Consider the following 26,358-nt stretch of genomic DNA (forward strand, 5'->3'; position numbering starts at 1 on the left):
CAAAGTGAGATCGTGTCTCTAAAACATTAAAAAAAAAAAAAAAAGGAAAAATGAGAGTGAGAACTGAAACAGCAGAAGGGCTCAAATCATCCTGTACATAGAAATCCTCCATCCAGGCCAGGCGCGGTGGCTCACCAGCATTTTGGGAGACCGAGGCAGGAGGATCACGAGGTCCGGAGATCGAGACCATCATGTCCAACATGGTGAAACCCCGTCTCACTAAAAATACAAAAACAAAATTAGCTGGGGGTGATGGCGGACGACTGTAGTCCCAGCTACTCAGGAGGCTGAGGCGGCAGAAAGGCATGAACCCGGGAATCGAGCTTGCAGTAAGTGGAGATCGCGCCACTGCGCTCCAGGCTAGGCCACAGAGCGAGACTCCGTCTGAAAAAAAAAAAAAAGAGAGAGAGAGAGAGAAAGAAATCCTCCATCCAGCCCTGTTGGTTGTGTATGTGTTGGAGGGGGTGGAGGGGCAGCCTTCTCAGGCTTTCAAGGAGGGCTCCCTAGCACCTCAGCTAAGATTTGTTTGTCTATACTATTAAAAGATAGACATAACTGTGTCCCAAACCAGCCTCCCCAGTTCCCACCAGCCAGAGCGCCTGACCTTGCAGGGAAGCTTATCTGTTTACCGTCCGAGCACTTTCAGGGATTCTAAAATGCCGTGAGTGGGAACCACTGCCATGGGCCATTTCCATGAAAATTCAATTTCGGGGATTAATTTGAACAGGTACTATTGACGTTTTCTCGTTTACACAAGATCAAAGAGTAAAAACAACCGGGCCTCTGCTTAACAGTTGAGGATTCTAGCAAAGTTAGGAAACAGGTTTCTATTTGTAGTAGAAGAGAGAGCAGGCAGAAAGAGGAAGATGGGAGCGGGGAGAGATTGGCAGAGATTCAGAAAGTTCGCGCTTGAGATTTTTACGTTTCTTACTCGTAAACGTCTATTTCTCTGGGTTTCTGAATGCAAAGACGAGAAAGTCTCAACAGTCTGCTAAACTAACACGGCCTTCGAATCCCAATCTGAACACAGTAGCTGAAACAAGCTGTCCACAAAGAGGAAAGCCAGAGGGGGCCAATTAGGAAGGAAGAAATTAAAGAAAAGAGAAAAGCCAAGATGAAAGGTCCAGCGCAAAGTGAATGACTCGACTGGAGAATGGCAGCCCTGGCAGGGTCTGCGGCCGGCTGCGGAGGTGGGGACGCGGCCGCGCGGACGAGTGACAGGTTGGTCCGGCGCAGCAAAGGGAGCGGGTGCGGCGGTAGGGCCTCTCCGGGGGCAGCGCGAGGGCCTCCCCCGGGGCAGCGCGGGCCAAGGCGGGGCCTCCAGAGCGGGGGCAGCAGAGGAGGGAGCGGAACGGGAGCCGGGCGGAGGCGGCTGCGGCAGGGGGAGGCGGGAGGCGGGCGCGCTAGCTCCCATGCTGGCCTCGGTGCCACTCGCGCGCCGGCCGCGCTCCGGGCTTCTCTTTTCCCTCCGACGCGCCACGGCTGCCCAGACATTCCGGCTGCCGGGTCTGGAGAGCTCCCCGAACCCCTCCGCGGAGAGGAGCGAGGCGGCGCCAGGGTGGCCCCCGGGGCGCGCTTGGTCTCGGAGAAGCGGGGACGAGGCCGGAGGATGAGCGACTGAGGGCGACGCGGGCACTGACGCGAGTTGGGGCCGCGACTACCGGCAGCTGACAGCGCGATGAGCGACTCCCCAGAGACGCCCTAGCCCGGTGTGCGCGCCAGGCGGAGCGCGCAGGTGGGGCTGGGCTGTTAGTGGTCCGCCCCACGCGGGTCGCCGGCCGGCCCAGGATGGGCGCTGGCAACCCGGGCCCGCGCCCGCCGCTGCTACCCCTGCGCCCGCTGCGAGCCCGGCGTCCGGCCCGCGCCCTGCGCTCATGTATGTAGGTTTGGCGCCGGTCTTCAGGGCTGAGGGTGCATGCTGGGTGTCCCCGCGCGGCCGGACGCGCTCCAGCTGGGTTCAGCCGCTCAGCTGCTCCGGAGGAACCCCCTCCCCCGCCCAAGTTTGTGAATATGGGCGCTTCGCCCAGTGTTGAGGTCGGCAGGGACCGGGCAGGGGGTCAGCAGGGCCGGGCACGTCCGGAGCCCTCAGGGAGGAGGGCTGAGGGGGAGGGGACAGACGCACCGGAGTGCGCAGAGTGGGGGCGTTCGGGGAGTGAGGCGGAGAGAGGCTGGATTGCCGGTGTCCTGCGGCGTCTCGGGCTCTCCCAGCCCCTTTGGGCGGCAGAAACTTTGGAATCCAGAAAGGCTGGCCGGGATCCAGCGAGTAGGAGGGTCTCGCGCCCACTCTGCGCCCTGGGGCCCCAGCCTCCCGCACTGCACACCTTGGTGCTGCCCGGGCGCTTCTGCTCCGCAGCCAGGACACTACAAGACTGAGCGCTGCGGCCGGCGACCTGGCTCCCAAGGCTCGGAGGGGCGGGCCGGCAGAGGAGCTGAAGCCCCGGGAATCCCCGACCCGGCCCTCTGGCAAGGGGCCGAGGGCATCCTTTCATGCAGCGGGGCTTAGAGAGCGGGGAGGGGGCGTCTGCTCCCGAGACGGGAGTCTTTTAAGAAGTTGTTAGAAATGAATCGTGGAGTCCTAGGAGAAGCTTTGTTTAACCTCCCCGCATTTTCCCAGCACAACCCCCTAAAGCAAATGAGGAAGAGTTTCCCTCTTATCTTCCTGTACATTCGTCCGTCTCTAACTCCACTGCTGAATTCTCCATTTAATAACCTTCGGGAAATGTGGCCAGGACCTAGGGAGGGACACCCTGGGTGCCTGAATTACGTGGTTCAAGGCAGAGCTTTGCAGGGGGGCGCGGGCCTGGCTCGCTGCGTTCCCTGGGCTCCGCAAGCCGCCCTTGGCCATCTCCAACACTAATCACGACTACATCAGAAACACGCCGGCCGGTGTCGTTCTTGGATTTCGCTTCCAATGTATCGCTCCACAGTTTGTGATGTCTAAGAACCCCGGCCGTGCACCGACGCTGGGCATGCTGCCCCCGCCCCCGTCGCCCAGCTCGTTAATCTAGAGCTATGCCGGAGCCCGGGTGGGGGCCGCGGCGGGCCGGGGCGCGCGCGGGCCGCGGGGCTCAGTTGTGCTGCTGTTCTCTCCGCAGGGACGGCGGCTCCCGGCTGGCGGCGGCGCGCCCCCGGGCTGTGAATGCGACTCGCCCCTCGGCCGCGCTCCCCGCCCGCCCGCCCGCCGGGACGTGGTAGGGGATGCCCAGCTCCACTGCGATGGCAGTTGGCGCGCTCTCCAGTTCCCTCCTGGTCACCTGCTGCCTGATGGTGGCTCTGTGCAGTCCGAGCATCCCGCTGGAGAAGCTGGCCCAGGCACCAGAGCAGCCGGGCCAGGAGAAGCGTGAGCACGCCTCTCGGGACGGCCCGGGGCGGGTGAACGAGCTCGGGCGCCCGGCGAGGGACGAGGGCGGCAGCGGCCGGGACTGGAAGAGCAAGAGCGGCCGTGGGCTCGCCGGCCGTGAGCCGTGGAGCAAGCTGAAGCAGGCCTGGGTCTCCCAGGGCGGGGGCGCCAAGGCCGGGGATCTGCAGGTCCGGCCCCGCGGGGACACCCCGCAGGCGGAAGCCCTGGCCGCAGCCGCCCAGGACGCGATTGGCCCGGAACTCGCGCCCACGCCCGAGCCACCCGAGGAGTACGTGTACCCGGACTACCGTGGCAAGGGCTGCGTGGACGAGAGCGGCTTCGTGTACGCGATCGGGGAGAAGTTCGCGCCGGGCCCCTCGGCCTGCCCGTGCCTGTGCACCGAGGAGGGGCCGCTGTGCGCGCAGCCCGAGTGCCCGAGGCTGCACCCGCGCTGCATCCACGTCGACACGAGCCAGTGCTGCCCGCAGTGCAAGGAGAGGAAGAACTACTGCGAGTTCCGGGGCAAGACCTATCAGACTTTGGAGGAGTTCGTGGTAAGATGCGAACGCCCGCCGGGCGACTTTGCACCTTCCAGGAAGGGGTGGAACAGCTTTGGTTCTGTGGTCCCCCACTTTGAAGAAGAGGTGCTCTCTGGTTCTGAGAGGTGGAGAGCACTGTGCTCACGTCCCTTTGACATGACCTCTCTTTTTCAGGGCAGAGGTAATCCTTCCCAGAGCACTGTGGCCAATCCATAGGGATTCCTTCGGTGTTCACTTTAAAAGGGCTTCATGAGGATGAAGCCTATGGCACTGAAGGGAAGGATCCCAACAGGTATCGGAGGGACTTTCAACATTAATGTACTGCTCCTAATTTGGGAATGTTGTCGGTGAAATTCTTAACCTGCTTTCAAACACAGGGTAATTTACGGTACCATTTGGGATATATTCTTCAACTAATAGCTAATTAAGGGAGACTATTCATATAAAAAGCCATTTCCCTAGATTATGTGTTTAGGGTATCATGCAAATGTTCTAAAAATTAAAAGAAAAAGAAAATATTTGCTCACTGGGTGCCAAATCATAGTGGATGGTGAAACCAACAAGTGCAGTTAATGGTTAAAAATTGTTTTGTTTCAGATGAGTAGTAGTAATGTTAATAATACCGGCCATCTCTCTAATGCCTACTGTGCGTCAGGATCCCGCTGGTTTTCATGTACGTTAGTTAAATCTCATCCCATGCTAGGAGGTGGATTATTATCCATTGTCTCCATGTTATGGAGAAGAGGAAACAGACACAGAATATTTAAATAATGTGTTGAAGGCAGAACAGCTATTAAGAAACAGATTCATATGTCAAACTAAGCAGTTCTACTCCATAGCTTAGGTTTTTAACCCTTATACTCTACTTGAACCAAAAGCCCAGCTCCACTGGGGCTTTAGTTTGGGTGAAGGTGCTGCACAGCATGCATGCACAGGCTCTAGGTAAAATCTCTGCCAGTGGGCTAGGGGCCTGAGAGAGACCTGCACAGGTGTTCAGTTATTCCAAACACCTCAAGGTAGGTTCAACCTATGGCCTGCCTGGACTTAGCCCATTGACTTACCAGGCCATAGCTGTCCTTTTCCCACCTGCAGAGGGCGTTATGGAACGTGCAGCTACTAAAGCAAAGGTTTAGGGAGGAATTCTGCTGGAATACCCCTCCTGGAATTAGCCTGTGAGATCTGCTAATTCCCAGGATGTGAAGCCCATGTAATTACTGACTTGTGGCAATGAATTATCAAGTGTTATATAAGTACAAAGCCAGGAAGGACAGATCTATATATAGTGTACAAAGTATGGAAAGAGTGCTGGAATTTAGAGTCAGGAAACATGGTTATTCATTCTGGCTTTACCACTAACCAGCTGCAGGACTGGAACAAAAGACATATGCCCTCTGGGTTTCTTTTCTCTTATCTGTAAGATAAGGGGCCAGCTTTCCCTAGGCTCATGTAGCAAAATATAACTCCAGGCATACATTGCTTAAGTACTCACATTTGACTGCAGCCCTTTGGAGAAAGACAACTGGGATGAGCAACTCATATGAACCACGCCCAGGCCATGCAAAATTAACTAAATCAGAAACCCTGCCCTCAAAATGCTTCCTGCCTACGGGAGGGTCTGGTAGATATCTCTCCAGGTGTTTTGGGTGCAGAACAAAAGTTCACAGGCAAATGTGTCCAGGTAAAGGAACCTGTGGGTGCTAGAAGAGCTCAGAGGAGGGGCCTTCCATTTTGGCCTGGAGCAGGGTCATAGAACACTAGAACAATTCTCTTAAGTTTTGAATTGGTAACATCATCGGCTCTTCTAAAGTCAAAGATAAGCAGTTGGTTTTTAATTAATTCCTTTTGTTGTTTGCACTATTTATAGTTTCATAGTAATTTTCTGGAATTGTCCTTAGAAGTAAACTGAGGAATTAGTAGCACTTTGATCTAGTAAGCCCAAATACTTCAGTGTCCACTTACCTACCTGAGATCACAGGTAAAGGAAATAATTCAAACTTCTGTCTTAACAATTCATGCTAAATGCTAGCAGCCATGAAGCTGCTTTTGTCTATGGAGGAGAGGGATCTCTCATTTAATTTCCTCTTTGCTACCTGTTTGGTAGTCCATAGGTAGAATGTGTTTTCAAACTCTGAGGATGGGAGATGATATTGACAAAAGGGAAATTGGAAAGATTACAATCTTAGGAAGAATTAAAATACCAGTAAAGCTATTTTTGGAATATTAAGTGCATCTTCCATCTTCAAATGACGTTTCATTCTAAACTTTCATCATTTATTACCAGATGCTGGGATGCACACATGCTTGAACGTTGCAAAGTTGTTACATATTTTTAATTATATGCTTGTTCTTACAATATGTCAACTACATAAAGATTTTATAGTGTTAGAGCATGTTTGCTCATTTTTGTTAGTATCGGGAACATTTCTAGGCATTCTGCTAATTTATCGTGGCCTTGTGCAAGCCATTTATTGTCTCCATTTTTGTTTCCTTCAATGTACAAAAGAGAAAGCAATGCTTTTTTTGAAGAATGTTGAAAATATGAATGTAGAATGGTATAGGGTTAGTTGTGAGTCCACGGGCTTTGTGGGTTGCAGTAATGGAGATTTGTCATGATGCTGAGTACCAGGGCACAGAAATTGTTAACATGCCTGCTCTGGGTATTCTGGGTTTCAGAGAGAGATTGTAGTCTGTAATGTGCATAGCACAAAGTACATGGAAAATGAAAAAGGAAAGCATTCTGTCTGAAGTGCTTTGCACTTCTCTGAAGAAAATGTGATTCAAATGGAGATTGTGGTACAGTCGGGTCATGCCTGGAACACTGTTTACTTTAGCAAGGAAGGAAGTGAAAGTGAGATTATTTGGGCCTCAGTCCCTGCAAGATGCATAGATCCTTTAACAGTCTGTTCTCTGCTTCCAGAGAGGGAGAGAGAGAGAGAGAGAGAGACAGAGACAGAGAGAGAGGGGAAATTACTAGTTATTGATGGAGGCTTGACCCTCTTTGAGCAGTAGATTAACTCCAGAGCCTGGCTGTGCTTGTGATGTGCAGGGTATTTGGCTCCGGCAGGAGTGCGGTTTCTCCCTGTCTTCATAGGCTTCTCTTTCTTTGGGCATGTTTTGTTGCTGCTTTCTCTACTCAGTTTTCTGCATATTCTAAACTTGTTTTTTCCCTTCTTTCTGTACTCTTTTACCCCATTAAAACTTCCTCTCTTTACAGCCTGTTTGATCTCAGTTAGATACTTGTGAAAGATCTCACTGACTCCACAAAATACCATTAAGCTGCTAATAATAATGAGAGTAATGTGTTCATTCCTCCAGGGATGGTTGTAATTTAATTTGTACATCCAAATAAAAACATAGTTAATAGTAGAATTTTCTCCACTGCCTCTCAAATGATACCAAGTGTCTTTTTTTCTTTAACTTATACCAGCAGGCATCCAACTTTGAATAAGGAAACTTGTCTATTGGCTTATTTTTTTTTTTCAGTAAAGGAATGATATTTTTAACTGTTTTCTGCTTCCTACAGTACATTAGTCTGCTAGGGCTGCCAGAGCAAAGTAACACAGACTGGGTAATTTAAACAGAAATTTGTTGTCTTGGAATAAATCTGGAAATCCAAGATTTTCAGACTTCCACATTTCCAAGTAATCTGGAAGTCCAAGATCAAGGTGTCAGCAGGGCTGGTTTCTTCCGAGGCCTCTCTCCTTGGCTTGCAGATGTCCATCTTCTTCCTGTGTTTTCTCATGGTGTTCCCTCTGCATCTGTCTGTGTCCACATCTCCTCTTCTTATAAGGACACACTCATATTGGATTGGGGCCTGACTTCATTTTAACTTAATTACCTCGTTAAAGACCTGTCTCCAGACAGTCATATTCTTAGCTACTGGCGTGAGGACTTCAAAATTTGAATTGTAGAAGCACACAGGTTAGCCCAAAACATAGTGTCAATGACCAAAATTGACTTCCTAAAACAGACCTAACGAGGTAGTAACAGTGGGGTGTGTGAGGATGCATCAGCACACATGATGGGAAAACAGTGCTTATGACGAAGGCACGGAGTGAGTGGTGATGAAGTGTATGCCAATGAACATTAACTGAGGGGCTCAACTTGACCATTCTGATTCTGTGTCTATTGCATTCTGAGAGCTACTTTAGGAGTTCCTGTATTACTTATGTGAATGGATCCTTGTGTCACAGAAAACTAAAAGGTGACTAAGGGTAGGGAGAGGGGCTGTATTGAGCAGTTGTAAATTTTGCCTCAGTGGCCACATGATTTGTTCAGAAGCAAATCACATTTGAAATGTGTTAATTGAAAAAAAATCATTCTATTTTGCTCAACAAAACAAGTTGTTTTCATCATGGGAATCTTGGTCTCCTGGAGGACTGTGATGGTGGAAAGGGGAGTTTGCAAGCTTATTTCATGTTTTATAAAACCTAATGGAATTTTTGTGACTCTGAAATAGGGCCATACAGGATAACTAAATCTTCACATTTCTTTGCTTTTGGTAGGATTGATATCAGCAAAGTGTGTCAACACTGGTTATCGTAGCCGATCAGGAGCTCTGATTGGCAATTGTATAAGTCTTTGAAGAAAAAGGGAAGATGAATTATTAATAAGTGAAGCTTACTAGACTGTCTTTCAAAGCATAAGAACTGTTGAGAGAGAGATAACAGGAAGGGGTACTTGGAGGTGAAATGATTTGGGACCACTGAGTTAAACCAAATTCTCTCTGACTGCCTCCGTATCTGACTTGCCATTAACCCCACTGCAAAATCTTATTTCTAGGTTTTTATCAATTAAAAAAATTTGAACATGAAATTTGGAATCAAAACCTTCATCTAAATAGATCTCTATATCAATTATGAGAAAGTGCCAGCAAAGAGAAAGCTACGGTTATTCACACTTTTCAGTCTAATGGTATTTATATTCTTTTGGCTGATGTTACTTAACTGAAAACAATGCTATTATTATCCACCTTCACTAAGTAAAATGAGTCAATCTGTGTTCTTTTCTGCAAGTCAGGCTAATGCATGTACTGTTGCTGTCTCTGAGTTTGTTTTGGTTCTGAGTAAGATTTTGTAAATTCTCTACTTCTCATTTTCTACCCTTGTGTCTAAAGCCATTTAAACAGTGACTTTTTTTTTTAAAGAGGGAGTCATATGCCATATCTAGACTCTTTAGATGTGTTCCTAACTCAGGTGGGGGAAACACAGCTTTAAAAACTGCTTATTTGCATGTTCCATACAATATCTGATGTGAAGTATGATAGAATTAACACCATAATCTTTTACAGTGGGCAGAAGGGAATCAATATTTATCTAGTGCCAATATTTTTTATATATTGGCTTTTCTGGAGTAATTTACACAACAGACTGAGTTGGTGGTATTTTCTTTATTTTTAAAGGAGAGAAAACTAAGGTCCGAAAAAGTTAAATAGCTTGATCAAGGTCATAGAGCTAGTAAATGGTGAAGACAGGATTTGAATCCTAGCGTGTTGGACTCTGAAGATCGTGCATAGTGTCTTCGTGACCATATGGTGATGAAGTGGCATTTTGCGTGTGGTGGAGAACATTTCAGGTACCCGGAAAAAGGAAAAGTTATACAAGCCCAGAGTGCCTTGCTTATATGTATGTCCAATAAATGCTTGATCCACTTGGCTAAGCATTTATTTACATGGATTTGTCATATTTGACTTGGCCATCTGATGAACAAAATAATGTCTGTGTCCTTCAAAGGATGAAGTCTTGAGTCGTAATGGGACTAAAAGCACTTAGTCCCAGGATTTCCCTGAGAGCAAGGGGGAATGAGTCCAGGGGGCAGTGAAAAGAAGACTAGATCCCAAGAGGCAGGTAGGACTCCAGGGATTATCAGACCCATGTGGGGCAACAGGTGGCCCAAGAGGAAGATCTGGTTCTAGGAGGTATTCTATTTGGCTCATGGCATATAAAACATTTGTTTACTAGTGCCTGTATTTGACAAGCGGGAGGTTCATATAAATTCCCAGATTGCCTAATTCTTACAAAAATGAAATGATTCCCAGATGGCAGCCATCTGTCAGAGCTGGGCAGGGCTGCCCCTTTGGGAGGGCATTTGTTTTCCAGCTGACCACACCCCCCTTGCAGATGTGTGATTCACCCATGCTCCTGTAAATAAATACATGACTTTGAAAAGCCTCTTGTTCATAGGCAGTGAAAATTCACCTTAGAAAATTAGTGCCCCCTCCAAAATCATACAGGCAGTTGATATCATGAGGAGGTTTAGGAAAGCAGGTCCCATGCTCTCCAGTCCTTTCCTCTTCAGTTTTGGTGGAGAATCAGCTTCTGGGACTTTGAGGACAGGGTACTTATCATCTGAACGGTGGGGTGAATGGGGTTCTGTTTTATCCAGTGCTTCCCTGGACAACTTTCAGAGCCTTGTTTTCTAGTGGTTAAAAAAAAAAAAGATAATGGGGCCTGGTGTGGTGACTCATCCCTGTAATCCCAGCACTTTGGGAGACTGAGGTGGGAAGATGACTTGAGTCCAGGAGTTCAAGCCCAGTCTAGACAACATAGTGAGGCCACATCTCTACAACAAATTGAAAAAAAAAAAAAAGGCCAGGCATGTTGGTGTGCTCACCTGTAGACCCAGCTACTTGAGAGGCAGAGGCAGGAGAATGGCTTGAGCCCAAGAATTTGAGGTTGCAGTGAGTCATGATTGGGCCACTGCATTCCAGCCTGGACAACAGCATAAGACCCCATCTTAAAAAACAGAAAAGAAAAGAAAAAAAAGTGGATAGTATTCTGCATTCCTCTCCCATTATAAGAAGTAAATAAGATGTATGTGAAAGCAATTTGAACCTGTAAAGCTCTGAACAAAGTTCATGTGGATATTTAGACAAGTTCTGCAGAGTGTGCAGCTCAGGGGGAGGTAGCCACGCCCTGGTCCAGATTTTGGTCTCTAGAAGGACTCTTGTAGAACCTCTAATCATTAGGGACTGGCTCCATGGAGCTGCTTTTCCATAAAACATTACCTCCTCAGATGATATCTCTAAATCTGATAAGTCCCAACGGAAACATTATTCTTACATTTATTTGAAAATATTTAGGACACCATGTGTGTGAGGCCCTGGGCTGCATCCTAGAGATGTGACGGGAAGTAAATGGCCCCCTCCAGGAGACAGGCAGCAGTAGTGTGGTGTGTGAGGCACTGTGAGAGCTTGGGTCAGGGGGTCAAGGGGGCACACAGTAGAAGCCACTCTATTATTATTAATAGACTCCACTGTTGTTGATGGCTTGTTTTTAAATGACAGAGGAATCCTGGGCCAGATGTTCTAGGGAAAAGAAAAGAGTGTATCAAATGTAACAACTGTGAGTTTGCATGAAGGATATGGCTTCCCACCCAGGCCTACCTACCCTGTGACCATCCTTCATGGTACTTTTCTGACCACGTAGCTGGAAATCCTTCTTACTGCTTGTCTGTTCCAAGGCTGAGATCCTGCCAGCTGGATCATACTTCTCATTCTATTTCTGTCGGGCACTGGGGTGCGGCCAGGACATAGACTGCCTTTCAAATCTGTGGAAAAGGATGATGTCAGGCCTCTGCCGAGGGCCCTGTGAGTTCTCTCAGAAGCCTTAGGCCTGTGGAAAAGCATAGAGCTTGAAAATTAAAACTCCATGGCCAGGCACAGTGGCTCATGCCTATAATCCCGGCAGTTCGGGAGGCCGAGCTGGGAGGATCACTTGAGCCCAGGAGTTTAAGACCAGCCTGTGCAACATAGTGAGACCCTGTCTCTAAAAAAAATAATAATAATAAAATAAAATAAAGAAAAAAAAGAAAAGAAATTAAAATGCCAGGTGGCTCTGCACATTTCCAAGTATCCAAGAATAGCAAAAGTGATGATGCTTTAAACATGAGACCTCTCCTTCCTTTCCTGGGAATATGGAGGATAGCCTGACAACTCACCTTCAACAAAATGCCTGAAATCCTGAATATCATATAAAACACATATTTTTAAAAGAAAAATGTTATTTGTATAAATTGATGGGGTACTGTGTAATTTTATTACATGGATACACTGCGTAGTGGTGAAGGAAGAGCTTCTAGTGTAGTCATCACCAGAATAATGTACACTGCATCCAAATAATGTACACTGCATCCATTACATAATCTCTCATTATTTACTCCCTCCCCATCCCTGACACCTTTCTGAGTCTCCATTGTCTGTCATTTCACATTCTATATTCATTTTTAAAAGCACAGCTGAAGTGGCAAGAAAATAAGAGAAATTAATTTCTAGAGGTGGAGTTGGAATCCATAGAGCAAAGTCTGCCTTGAAGTTGTGGCTGTCTGGGAGCATCTCTTGATCTTGGGGCCTGGGCCCTTGGCACTCATGGCCAATCATTACCGGGTTGTGGCACGTGAAGAGTTCAGGTCCCCAAGTAGAAAGAATCAGATCAGGATCTATCTTATAAAGCCAGGGCACCCAAGAGCCTGTACTGCAATGGGACAGTGTAGGCAAACATCTTTCAATGGGCCTTGGCTCTGTCCAGAGGAGAAAGAAATGTTTGTGTTTTCCCCAAGTCATTGCCATCTGTAGCAGGCTTACCCTCTTATGGATGTGGAGCCCAATTCATGCTTCCCTGTGTGGTCTGCAAAGTCCAAATGGAATATGTGTTTTTAAATGGATCAACAGGTATCTGATCTAAACAAACACACACGGGGTGAATGCACCCTTCACCCAGGCTGCAAAAAATTCCCACAAGTAGTGTTCCAAGTAATGTGACCTCAAAAGAAAAAGTACTCACAAGAAGAAAGGGCAATGTGAGCAAGAATCAGCTGAGGCAAAAGCAGTTGAATCAGACCCAGATATTGGGATGTAAAATGAGTATATTTGATATATACTTATTTACATATATACATATAAAGAAAATGCTGGAATAAAGTGCATGGGTAAAGAACAGAAATATATCCCCAATCCTAGTCAGCTTTGAATAAGAATCAGATAAAGCTTGTTTAAGTGAATGATACATTTAATGAATGATATCAATCCCATGGAATTAATATTCAATGGGAGGGATTAACAGTTGTAGACTAGATGCAGTTTAAGATATAATTAGCAAACCAGCACACAGATCTGAAGAAGTTAACTAGTATGAAACATAGACATATAGATGGAACACAGGAAAGAGATGTTTCGATACATGGAGGATAGAGTGAAAAGATCTACCACACATCTGCTTAGAATTCTGAGATTGTAGAGAATGGGAGAAATTTAGATAGTTCCAAGAGACGGCAGTTCCAAGACTTTCTAGTTGAAAGTCTGCTTAGAATTCTGCTTAGAATTCTGAGATTGTAGAGTATGGGAGAAATTAAGATAGTTCCAAGAGATGGCAGTTCCAAGACTTTCTAGTTGAAAGACATCTATTTTCTCATTCAGGAAACCCAATGAATCTAAAGAAAGATAAATAAAAATATATTCACATCCAGCCATATTATAGAGACTGCAGAACAACAAAGGCAAAATAAAGATGTTCAGAGCAACCAGAGAAGACATTACATCCAGAATAACAGTGAGTAGGCTTACAGCAGACATCTGATCAACAGAAAACACAGCACAGTAGGAGAATATTTTTAAATAAGAGAGAAACAAGTGTTAATCCGATTGATGTATCCAACAAAATTGTCCTTCAGGAATGAGCCTAAAGAAAGATACTTTATACAATAGAGAGCTGACCACCAAAAAATATTTACTAAAAGAACTTTAAAATAAGAGTCTAAAGGATGAAATTTAGGAAGAAGGAAAATGATCCCAGAAGCAAAGTCACAGAATCAAGAAGGAGTGGATAAAACTTAACTGTTTACTAAGCTGTACACCAGTGGAGCTCAGCTGGGGGCAACATTGTTTGCCTTCCCCCAGAAGACTTTTGCAAGGTATTTGTTACCTGGGTATATAGTGTGATGCTGAGGTTTGGGATAAGAATGATCACATCACTCAGGTACTGAACATAGTATGCAACAGTTAGTTTTTCAACCCTTGCCCACCTCCCTCGCCCCTCTCATAGTCTCCAGTGTCTATTGTTCCCATCTTTGTGTACATAAGTGCCCAATGTTTAGCTTCCACTTATAAATGAAAACATGTGGTATTTGGTTTTCTGTTCCTGCATTAATTCACTTAGGGTAGTGGTACCCAACTGCATCCATGTTGCTGCAAAGGACATCATTCCATTCTTTTTTATGACTATGTAGTATTCCATGGTGTATATGTACCACATTTTATTTATCCAATCCACCGTTGATGGGCACCTAGGTTGATTCCATGTCTTTGCTATTGTGAGTAGTGCTGCAATGAACATAGGAGTGCATGTGTCATTTTGGTAGAAGGATTTATTTTCCTTTGGGTATATACCCAGGAATAGTATTGCTGGGTAATAGGTAGCTCTGATTTAAGTTCTTTGAGAAATCTCCAACTACTTTCTGCAGTGGCTGAACTAATTTACATTCCCTCCAACAGTGTATTAGTGCTCCCTTTTCTCTGCAGCCTCACAAGCATCTGTTATTTTGTGACCTTTTAATAATAGCCATTCTGACTGGTGTGAGATAGTATCTCATTGTGATTATGATTTGTGTTTGTCTGATGATCAGTGATGTTGAGCATGTTATCATATGCTTGTTGGCTGCTTGTTTGTCTAATTTTGAGAAGTGTCTGTTCATGTCTCTTGCCCATTTTTTAATGGAGTTATTTGTTATTTGTTTGCTGATTTGTTTAAATTTCTTATAGATGGTGGACCTTTGTTGGATGCATAGTTTGCAAATATTTTCTCCCATTCTGTAGACTGTCTGTTTACTCTGTGGATAGATTCTTTCACTGTGCAGAAGCTCTTTAGTTTAAATATTCTTAGAAAACAGGTACTGGGAGCCAGCTCAGCCTTAGGCCAAATCATCAAGTAGGTGAACACTTCAGAGGCATCCCCAGCTGGTCAGAACTGCCCACCACCAAGTTCTCAGCCACTCACCAAGTTCTCACTACTCAGCCATGGGCAATTTTTCCTACCCTTCCTGTAATGAAGGTCAGAATGCTTGGAAATCAGATTCCTTTCCTACTGCTCTGTGTACCCTTAGGGCAATAGGCCAATCAGAAATAAATAGTACCTTCAACCATACCAAACAGATTGGCCCTTCTGTATGTATCTTTGCTTTCCTCATATCTAGCTTTAAAAACAATTCTTATTTATATTTTACTTCCAAATTCTGTATGCTTTTAAAAAAGAGAGCTCAATATTTTTGTTTTAGAAAGCTTGAAACAAATGAAATATAATAAAATTAATTTCAAGTAAGTCACTATTCTTATTAATTCCTCTTGATATGCCAGGAGCTAAACCTCCCCACCTGGTGACACTGTGGCATTGTTGACAACTATGCTCTGGGGACATGGAGGGAAACAAGCCCCACCCGTGGGGAGCCTGGGATGTGCAGGGAGCCAGCAGGTGGCCAGATGCTCACCTTTCTTTCTCACGTGGGGCAGAACTGCCCCGAGCGCCTCTACCTCCACTCGCTGTGCTTTTGCTGCGTCACACACACAAATGTCATGAGTGGGTAGGTTGAAAAAGAATATGGCTTTTGACAAGGCTGCTGCTGTGGCCTGGGCAGGAGAAGCAGGAGAGAGACAGGCAGCTGAGGGGTACACTGTGCTCTAATGTCAGCCTCCCAGCTCAGGGTAACCTCCCACTGGTAGCAGAGTTCATGTCTGGGCTCCCAGTCCTCTCCAGGAAGCTAAGAAAATCAGCTTATCTTGCTTCTAGGTAACAGCAAGGGATGACAGATATAATTTAATGGTCAGATCTCAGGGACCATTGCGCCGTATGTCTGGGTGCAAAGAGTCCCTTTCTGTGTGAGTGAGCACTGCTGTGTCTTCTCCACCAGAGCTTAAAACTCCATGGAAAGGGACTTCATCAAACGGAGAAACCACAGTGGGTGTCCTGTTCTAATTTCAGCCTACTTTTGAATAGGCTTAGCTTCAAGAAGAGATTCAGGGCCAGTGATGGGAACCCACAGTGCCTGTCCACTCCTGGCTCGGGCTGTGGTCCAGCACTTCCTGGGTAATTGGCAGCTGATGTGTTGAAGGAGCTTTAACAAGACAAGCAAACCCTGACTTCAGGCAGTGTCCAGACGGGCATCCATTTGGGTCACTCTACAGTTGGGGGTGCGAGCAGGGCTGTTGGAGCCCGGCCAGCTTTGGGCAAAGGCAGACTGATGGGTGCCTTTGGTCATCTTCACTTCCTGCTTGTAGTGGGCATTGTCACTGCCATCTCAAAGAATGCCAAACGGGAGCACTGTAGTTCTGTTTTCCCCTGGCCTGTGTGTGTGTGTGTGTGTGTGTGAGAGAGAGTGTGTGGGTGTGTAAGACAGTGTGTATGAGTGTGTGTGAGTGTGGGTGTGAGACAGTGTGAGTGTATGTGTAAGTGTGAGAGTGTGTGAGTGTGGGCATGTGCGACACCCACACCTACTTATCCACACTCTTATGAGTGGTGGGTGTGTGAGTGAGTGTGTGGGTGTGAGTGTGGATGTGTGGGTATGAGAGTCTGTGAGTGTGGGTGTGTGAGGGTGTGTGTGTGTGAGAGGATGTATGGGTGTGGGGTGTGTGTGGATGTGTGTGTGGATGTGGGTGTGGGGGTGTGAGAGAGGGTGTGTATGAGTGTGGGTGAGTGTGACTGTGTGGGTGCGTGTGAGAGTGGATATGTGGGTATGAGTGTGTGTGAGCATGTGTGTGAGCGTGTGTGTGGGGGGTGTGAGGGTGTGTGTGGAGTGAGTGTGGGTGTGAGAGTGTGTGTGGCCTGCATGTGTGAGAATATGAGTGTGGGTGCATGTGTGTGCATGAGTGTGTGTGAGCATGTGTGTGTGAGGTGTGGGTGCATGCTTGAAAGTGTGTCAGTGTGAGCGTGTGGGTGCATGTGTGAGTGTGGGTGTATGTGTGGGTGCGTGAGTGTGTGAGAGTGTAGGTTTGGGTGTGAGAGAGAGATTGAGAGAGTGTAGTGTGTGTGTGAATGGATGTATGAGAATGTGAGTGTGGCTGTATGTGTGTGTTAGCATGTGTGTGGGTGCATGTGTGAGTGTGGGTGTGTGTGTGTGAGTGTGGGAGAGTGTGTGAAAGAGTGTAGGTGTGGGAGTGGGTGTGTGTGAGCGGGTGTGTGTGAGAGTGTGAGTGTGAGCGGGTGTGTGAGTGTGGGTGTAGGTGTGTGTGGGTGCGTGTGAGTGTATATGTGGCTGTGTGTGTGTGTGAGTGTGAGTGTGTGTATGAAGTAGGCATAGTGGTTTCATTGCATTAACATTTCCCCCCATTGGCCACAGTCCCCACCACTCCTTATTACACACTTAGTTCATGGCCTCATTTTCTTACTTGACTGGTCCCTGAAGAAATTTGAATTTGTCATCCCTGAGAGAACTAATCCCCATGTCACACCTGTCTTTTAAAAGTCTATTCTTAGGAAGACATTATTTTAGTCATTTATATATGAAGTAAAAATTAAGCTCTCTTTTTTCTCCCAAGGATTACTTAGCTGTAATTCTTTAAAACAAAAGGGTTTTGATCTTCCAATGTTTTTAAAGAAGAGAATATCTTTCAAAATTTGTCAGGGAACCTTCTTCTCTCCCCAAACAGGTGGTCAGATGCAGTTGACATTACTTTCTTTCTCTTACGGGCTTAATTTAGGAATCTATAAATGAGCCAATTATCTACAAAATAATTCTACAAAGATTTCAGCGTCACCCATGCTTCCCAGGTGGGAAGTGAGAAGCCGCTCCCTGCACTGGCCCTGGTGCTCCGGGGGGCCCTACGGCCCCTTGGCTCCTTGCAGAGGCGGGGGTGCAGGCCGCCAGCACGTTTGGCTGCATCCTTTCTGACTGTGTATCTGTTAGGCAAGCTGGCAGATTCCAGACTGCCCATCAGGTCTGAACCATCAGCAAAGAAGGAGGTCTTCCTCATTCTCCTCCTAGCTGTTCTGCTGTTTGCAACCAAGTAAATATGAAGTGTAAACCCTGCCACTAGTTTTTCCCCCGCATAATTGACCTAGCAAGTTCCTGTTGATCTGTATTAATGTGAGGGAATTATTCAGGAGAGGATTTAAAAGATGTTAGTAGACAAGGGTCTTGCCTGAAGCTAAAGCCATAAAGAAGGAAAAGTTGTCTGTGGTGCCCGAGAAGAAAGCTGTATTGCCTCAGATTGTCAGGCTGCAGTATTCTTAATCTATTGTGTTGTATGTGGAGTTGTCTTCTTACTGAGACTCAGAAACTGACAGCCTCTGGGGACAGTTCTTAATTAAATCCCTTTGTGTGCAAATCTGTTCTCTGACAGACAGTGGAAAGACAGAACAGAAAAAAAAATTCTTTTCTGAATGGCACAGGCAGCAGCGTCTCTCTGTCCTTAGTTTCTGTTGCTATAATCCTTGTGGTGGAGGCTGGAAGGTAGCTTGTGGATCAACTTCACTTCACATTAGAATTAGCTCTCTTTTTGAGGGAGAAAGTAGAGAGGGGCAGGGAGCTAGGTGGGGAGCCTTTCTGTGCCTTCCTGGATTGATGAAGGGACATCACATGGCAGGGCACCTCCCAGCCCTCAGGGGGTCGGGGACTCAGGCTGCAGGGCCAGAGTCCCCAGGTGGCAAGGGCCCTTCTGCTTGTCAAGTTTGGAGGGAGAATTTGGCCATGTCCTGTGCTAGTTTGATAAGACAGTTTCAGGGAAGAAACCTGAACAAGGACGGGGGAGAGGTTTAGTTCCAGGTGACTGCTGAAAGGAAGACATCATTTTCCAGGTTTCTTATAGGTGGTGAGGAGGGCTGACAGGTGCAGGCAGAGCCATTTGCGCTCCAGGATGCCTGTGGATTCTGAGTACTTATTAATGAACATTTTCTATCACTGGCCCTGTGGTATGACCAGACTTCAGTTCAGGCAGAGACCTGCCTCAAGAAGTCACCAGACCTGTGGGTGTGTTTTCACTCCATAAAAAGCAGAGTTGAAAGGAATCACTTCAGCATTTTCCTCCAGCTCTGAAATCACACAGTTACAGGTTATCAGAAGCTAGTAAGACTACACTGTATAAATGGAAGGGACTTCGTGACTTGCCTCTACGTGCACCCTAAGGGTGTGAGCTGGAAACAGGTTTTCATAAATTGGGCAGCTAGAAAAGGCACTTTCGCCATCTGGTGACAGAACTGTGACAATGATTTGGGGAGGCTGCTTGTCCTGGGCTACGCGGAGAGACTGCTTTGTCATTCATGCCTTTCACTAACTTCTTAATCTGAGGTCATCCAAATAATCATGTAACAGGGTCAAAATGAATACAACAAAAGTGGTATGTGCAGACAGGGAGGTCCTCTTAGTTTAGAACATTGCTTTTCCTTCCATGGCTCCCAATATTTGCTGATGGCTGAAAACAGTTGTTCTTGTTAAAGTTTCTGTCTCTGTTGGGATATCCCAGCCTTTTGGGCAGTCAGGAATCTGATCACTTCTGGGAAGTGACTCAGCTTTTCAGGAGTTATCTCCCAAACCTACGGCCATTTTTCTGAGTGCCCCCTCCACCAGCTCCAGGCTGACTCAAGCCAGGGTGGTGGCATCTGACCCCTTGGCTTTGCCCTCATTCCATCCTCCTCCCTCGGGTCCTTCTTTCCAGACAAGAAGATGCTTCGCCTTCCTTTGTTATACATTCTTTAATTCTTCCCACTCTATGATTGAACCTCCAGACTTTGGCTCTCAGTCTGTAAAAATCAAGCTCAAGAAGTACTGATAATGGCCACTGTCTTCCTGGAAAGCCTGGCCCTCATGATTCTTAAAAGCACAGCAATTATGTAGTTACTTGTTCTACTTACTTGTGTCTGCTCTCTAGAAAACCAAGGCTTAGCCTCTTTGTGTAGGTGCAGTGGTGGAAGGGCCAAAGGGAAACACTGGTGAGAAAGAAATATACAGGCGTTACTTCAAAATACTGTCCTTCTCTCTGCCATGACTACTAGCACATTTGGCCCTCCACATCCACAGATGCCACATATGCAGGGCCACCTGGAAGGGACCTGAGCATCCTTGAATTTTAGTATCCGAGTTGTTTCCCGGAATCAGTCCCCCATGGATACCAGCGGACGACTGTAATTCATCCTTGTGGAGTGTCCATCATGAGCCACTCACCGCTGTAAGCACTTTGCCAACAGCAATTTAACCATCCTCATTTTACAGATAAAAAGACTGAGGCACAAGTTTCAGATAACTTGCTCAGGGTCCCACAGTTAATCAGGGGCAGAATTGGGCTTGATTATCCTCTCCCGCTGTGTGCATTTACGCTGCACTAGACACCTTTGATTCTGCACTCCTGTGACCAGGCAGTGACTGCGAGGATTGGTACCCCAGTGGGTTCAACAGGTAACTTCCTCCTTCCCCTTTTTAACATGAGGACATGGAAGCTCAGGAAGGAAAAAGGACTGGCTGGGGATGGCGCAGTCCAGTTCTAGAGCTGCTTCTCTTCCTGAGAATTGCTGTACTGTTGCCACATACACTGTCTTTCCTCCTGTTTCCTTGGCCACCCTTCCTACCCTTGCTCTGGAAGCCTCCTGTCCTGGCGGCCAGAGGTCTCCCCATCTGCGCTGTGTCCAGCTTTGCATTTTCCCTCGGGCTTGGCTGGAGGAGGCCAGATGTTGGAGTCACTGCACAGCCTCCTCCCTGGGGAAGCCTCATGGGGTTTCAGTGGGAGAAGGGAACGTGGGATTCCTCCTGTGCATCTCATCTTGGTACTGTGATGTCGGGCAGTCAGGGGCTTGCCTGAGGCTACAGGGCACGCTGAGGTATGAGGTCCAGGACCAAGTTTCCCACGTCTCATGGCCTACCTGGGTCTCTAGATCTGGGACAACGCTCGTGCTTATTCCTTTACAGTTAAGATGCCTGGCAGCTGCTCCCAGAGGCCCTGACAGAACTTTAAATTGGCTAATTATCCCACTCTCTGTCTTTGCTTTCTTATGGAAGAGCTGCAGCCCAGTAAAGCATCACTAAAATCCTCCATCAGATGGCTACTGGTTGGAGGTGATCAGTGGGATTTGGAATATTTCCTGGCATTTTTCAGGTACTTCATAAATGACCTTTGATATGGAACAAATTCATATGTGAGATTTTTTAAAATGTGTGTTTAAAATGTATCAAATATGCCTAAATAATATTCAGACTCTGTCCAGGCATCACTGGATGCCACTTTTTTGTCACATTTGTTTCTAACCCTCTTTTTTTTTTTAATGAAATTGAAGTGTACAGATAGAAACAAACCTGCCCTCTCATTCATCCCATCCTGTCCCCTTTCCTTTCTGTTCAGAAGTAGCTGGTGCAGTGAAGTTGCTACATATATTCCTGCACTGATTTTCTTATTTTATTCATGAGCCTGTATCTGTAAGCAACACCTGTGTGTACATGTGTTTTCAAAGACTGACATTGATAGAAGCAACATAATACCATATATATTCTTTTGCAACTTTTTTTTCCTGTTTATGTTTTTGAGATTCATCTGTATTGTCACAGGCATATTTGTTCATTAATTTATAACTGCTGTCTATTATTCCATCTGATTAACACCACAATGTGTTTATCCACTCTCTTAATGGTCAATTGTTTCTAACTTTTTTCTATTGCAAACTCTTAGGGCTTTAGGTCTTTGATAGATAGCATATAAATGGCATGCATTTTTTCACTTCAAAGTTAATAACCAACTGAGAAGGGACACAGAGTCCAAGATCAGCATCCTGGACTGGGAAGTGCAGCTAGATGGACAACACATTGCTGGTAGACCAGGGGCATTTCTGAACCTCAGCAGTCTGAGCAACTCAGAGCCCACCTGTAGGGGTACCTGCAAGGTTTCTGAAAGGAGGGCACAAATGCGCTCATTCTGTGGACTAGCCAACACCAAAGAGCTAATCAGAGGGGCTAAGCAGAGCTGGCTGTAGAGTTTCTTTGAATGCCTCCTCCCAGAGAGACATAACTGAAGACTGGAAGAGAAGCAAGAATTTCTGTCACTCCTGACCCTCCCATTCTAACCTCCTGTATATCCCAAACCAAAGCCCTTTTGCCCATTTGCATGCTAGCAAATGTAAGAACTCTGGTTCCCCTTCTCTTGGCCAAGACCTGATGCTATCAGACATTCTTTTCATGCAGCTCGAATGTGCATGAAATACTATCATTTGGTTTGCATTTTTCTGATTTTTAATGAGATGGAACGTTCTTTTATACATTAATTGACCATTCAGATTTTCTTCTTTTGCCACTTAATAGAGCATTCACAGTTGAGGACATTGAGACGTAGCAATATTAAGTGCTTGCCCAAGCTTACACCAATAAATACGTTGGAATTTGCATCCATGCCTGTTAGCTGCACTGTCTTTGGCCCTTGTAATAGACAGGGTGTATGCTCAGCAGGCAGGTATGTATGGGTGCTGGGCCCAGAAGCTTGAGAAAGAAATATTGCATGTGGTTTGAAGAGGTTATTGTTGGTTATTGTAGATCCAAGTTGGTCTTGTCTTATGGTGCAAGGACCCTGAGCACAGGATATTCATCACCTCATTCCACATTCCCTGGGGTATACAGGCTGTATTCCTAGTACCTTCCCTCTCTACCTGCCCAGTCTGATCCATTGTTGCACTTCTTCGTTGTAGTTCAGTTCGGCCAGTCTAGAATGTGGAGCATCCTTTGGACACCTCTCCATCCTCATCCTCTTGTCTATGTGGTCCTCTTCTCTTTTCTACCTGTCCCAATCCTTCCCACCTGACTTATCATATTCCAAGTTCTCTGTCAGATACTTCCAGCCAGAAGTGACATCACTGCCTTTAAAACTCTCAATATGCACGTAGCTCAGTTAGCGCTCAACATTTTCAGCCATTTTGTTAGTTTCTCTTCCATATATTTATGTCTCATCTCCCTAACCAGACTGAGCATTTGAGGTGAGTGACTCGTGTATTTCTTTATATCTCTCCTTGAGAACACAAGGAGAGATAATGTAGTAAGCCTATGCAATTGATCAAGAGTAGGATGGCTGGGTTGTTGATACAATTTGTGGGGCCTGTTCTTAGTATTGTTGCCCCTGGTCCCATGTGTATGTAATCTCTAATCAGCAAGATGGATGTGTATCTTTCATATGTGAATTTGAAAATTTTTGTCAGTTGTGTAAGTATGAATCATCAATTATTCATTACACATTTTTAGCTGTTTAAAGAAGACATTGACAGAGGGAGTAGAGCAGAGAGTTAGACGTCTGGAATGGGTGGAGTGTGGTGTGCAGCTGTATGTGCCCTAGGTTCTGAACTGGAATCAGGACCTTGAAGGTCGCTTTCTGATCTCAGGCTTTGCATTTATTCACTTTCCACACAGCCTTCACACACCATCGGTCCCTTCTTTAAAGTCATTGCTTTAGTATCTATGCCTTCTATTCCCTTTGTGGATTACATGTGTAATTCAAATAATGATCCCTCTCAATAGAAAGGTTTACCTTTATTCCCCATTCTTAAGGGTTGGGTGCCTAATCCTTGAGCAGCTCTTTGTGAAGTGTTGAGCAATTGTTACTATAGCAAAGTTGTAGATACTATTTCTGTTTTCATAATATGTTGTGTAAGTTTGTTTTAGATCTTGTGTCTTTCCAACCATTTCTTTCTTGACTCAGTCAGTATTTCTTGAGCTTGTTCAACATTTTGCACTGGCCCAGTTACTGTAGCCATCATAGATGTGACTGAGAGATGGCTCTGGCCCTTTAGTTGCACTGAGTCTAGGTCACCACACTGTCTGCACACATAGGGGTTAAGAACCTCAGTGATAGATCATCTGTGTCCAAAAGGCTTGGCAGGCTCCAGGGGGTCCAGAGACTTAAAGAATTTCAAGGAAGGGAGGGATTGGTAGAGGCAGATAGGGGGTAGGGGCCCCTATCTGGGAAGGGGGCAGACGATATTTCAGTGTTTCCTTGGTTTCATGTTAGTCTTATTTTGTATCATTGCAGAATCCAATAATCTGAGAGTTAGAAAATATCAATGCAATATCTGTACTAATGGAAGAAATAGCAAAATGGGAAGAAGAATATACTTTATGCTGAATAGTTGTAGTTGAGAAAGTTCTATGCTGAAGTTTCTTAGCTCATACTTTCTTTCTTCTCTATGTTTAAATTAACTCCATCTATGAAACCATTACAATTACTTGGAAAATTGTTCTGGGGTTTTCATGCCTCCCATTTGTCTGCTCATGAGTGGGCATGTGCATTCAGCCTGGAATTACTCTCTAGCTGCCGAAAGCCAGTGCACTTTGCAGCAGTGGGATTTCCTGGCACCTATTCCAGCAGCTCACAATCACAAGCTCCAGATTAGACATGTCATGGTGGTCCTTATTCAGGTAACAGGATTGTGAACATAGGCATCTCTTGTTTCTCACAGAAAGATGTGTTTGAGCTGGATTTGAGAAAAATATGTTTGCATTCCCAGGTAGGTAGGCATCCCGGTAGATGGTGAGGGTTGCTGCTGTTGCAGACAGGATAGAGTAGGAGGTAGTGTCTGAAAAATACTTCCTACCTTCTATAGTGGAAAGACATTCAAGACATTAAAATCAAGCTGCTTTCTGTAACATTTCAGAGCCTGGTCCTTCTCATGGTTATGAAGATTATAATCACAGTTATGAAATTAAACAAGGCAAAGCTTCTTACAGATGGATGCCTAATTGGACTTAAGTTTACTAACATAAAATATATGTAGTGCAATATAAAGCTCCTTAAATGCTACTCATATAGGAGTGTGAATCCCAACTCTCTACCACTTACCATCATATAGAGCTTTAGTTTATGTATGCCACTTGATTTAAGCAGTATCATTTTATAGGTCTCATTTTTCATTTAAGAAGTGTTTTGTGTGTAAACTCTATTACCCACTCCTACTTAATTATTCAGAAATAGATTCAATATTTATTTTACAGTCCTTGCTGTCTATGTACATATGATATAAACATGTCTATAAGTATTGAGCATTATAAAGGTCTAACTATGAATAATTTTACTTTGCCATCAAGTTAATATCTTTATAAAGCCTCTGCTATGCATGTAGTTATGACTAGCCTCTGCTAGTCATAACTCTGAGTAGTTGTAGTTGAGAAAGTTCTATGCTGATGTTCCTTAGCTCGTACTTTCTTTCTTCTCTATGTTTAAATTAACTCCATCTATGAAACCATTACAATTACTTGGAAAATTGTTCTGGGGTTTTCATGCCTCCCATTTGTCTGCTCATGAGTGGGCAGTGCATTCAGCCTGGAATTACTCTCTAGCCTCTGCTAGTCATAGTGGAAAAAAATATTCACAAACATAATTATTCTTCATTGTTTTGCTTCAGGTTTGAGGGTGTATCTCTCAGATCCTGTTTAACTGCTGTCTTTAAGACAGAGGCACTGTGGTAACTGTGAAAGCAATGTGGATGAGTGAGAATGATTAGTGCATCAGCTTGGAGACCCTGTTTGTGGGGGTCAGGTCAGACGTGCACACCGTTGCTAATTTTCCTTACCAACCCCTGCTGTTATCTGTATTCTCACCTTCCTGAAAAATGGTATAAGTAGTATTCATCTCTCTAGCCTCAGGACTGGAATGAATAAATGAACACATAGAGAATGTCTTCATTCTCACTCCCAATCCCAAGAAACCATGTTCTTTGGATCCAACAAATTTTTCCCTACTCCTGGCACACAATAGGGGCCTTGAGAATGAATTCTTTTCTCAAATGCCCAACTGTTTCTCCAGGCTACACATCTAAATTCTATCCATGCAAAACTTGGAAGATTGTGAAGAATGACATTTCTGCCATAAGGTATTCTATGTAAAATGTAGGTGGTGATTTGCTAATAAGAAGTACTAATGCTTTAAACTTAGGTTGTCCCTAGTTAAGTTTCTTCTGGGAAAATGATAACTTTAGAAGAGGAGAAAAGTTTGTGTCATCTGATCGGAAAAAATGTGCATGGAAGTTCCTGCTGCTGGTTGCAGAGTAAATGATGTGCTCGGCATCTTACCTTTAGTTTCCATGTGGGACAAAGAGCACAGCCTGGCAAAAGGCCCATGGTGCTTGAGTTGGCACGTGGGGAACCATCAGCTTGGTGGGTGCTTACAGTCAGAGCAGCAGCTTGGTATCTGACCAGGTCAAGGGACAGGCAAATCTTTCACCTCACTCCTAGACATTTGGGTCAGCTGCCTGGGCCTGCTGACCACGCCAGTGGGGATCCAGCTATGGGTTGGTGAAATGAGCCTAAAAGAGGGTCACTGTGACCCAGAATGCCAGATTGGCCCTGATGACTGGGGATTAAAGCCTCATGTCAAAGCTAGAACCCACGGCTGGAGCCACGGCTGCAGCTTCCATCTGCTCCTTGGCAGCCTCTCTGTATCTCAGGAGGTGGAAGGCACTAGCACATTGTCCTGGAGGACTCTGAGCAGGAAGCTGCTTTTATGAGTGTACAGTGGCCATCCTGGGGCACCAAACAGAGCCCTGT

General features: G+C 45.8%; 1 protein-coding gene across 5 annotated transcripts in view, besides 1 other annotated feature; it reads left to right on the forward strand.

Annotated features, from left to right (window-relative positions):
• Positions 1-1,400: 1,400 nt before the first annotated feature.
• VWC2 (von Willebrand factor C domain containing 2) overlaps positions 1,401-26,358 on the forward strand; it is a 148,568-nt gene continuing 123,610 nt past the window's right edge. For 4 of the 5 annotated variants that reach the window (XR_001744720.2, XR_001744721.2, NR_136188.1 and 1 more), the window contains exon 1: positions 3,096-3,894. Coding sequence is in view for 1 of the 5 variants with exons in the window: in NM_198570.5 (NP_940972.2) it covers positions 3,199-3,894 (696 nt within the window). In the remaining 4 variants the exon portion in view is untranslated. Of the gene's footprint in view, positions 1,877-3,095; positions 3,895-26,358 lie in introns of those variants that run through there. The other variant, NM_198570.5, reaches the window with a different exon arrangement.
• Positions 18,869-19,853: an enhancer, noted in NCBI's record as "H3K27ac hESC enhancer chr7:49830702-49831686 (GRCh37/hg19 assembly coordinates)". NCBI's record gives its function as "activates a minimal SCP1, AML or CMV promoter by ChIP-STARR-seq in primed H9 embryonic stem cells {active_cell/tissue: H9 hESC(primed)}" and the evidence as "EXISTENCE:reporter gene assay evidence [ECO:0000049][PMID:30033119]".

This window comes from Homo sapiens, chromosome 7 (genome assembly GCF_000001405.40).
Source record: "Homo sapiens chromosome 7, GRCh38.p14 Primary Assembly".
Taxonomy (NCBI): Eukaryota; Metazoa; Chordata; class Mammalia; order Primates; family Hominidae; genus Homo; species Homo sapiens.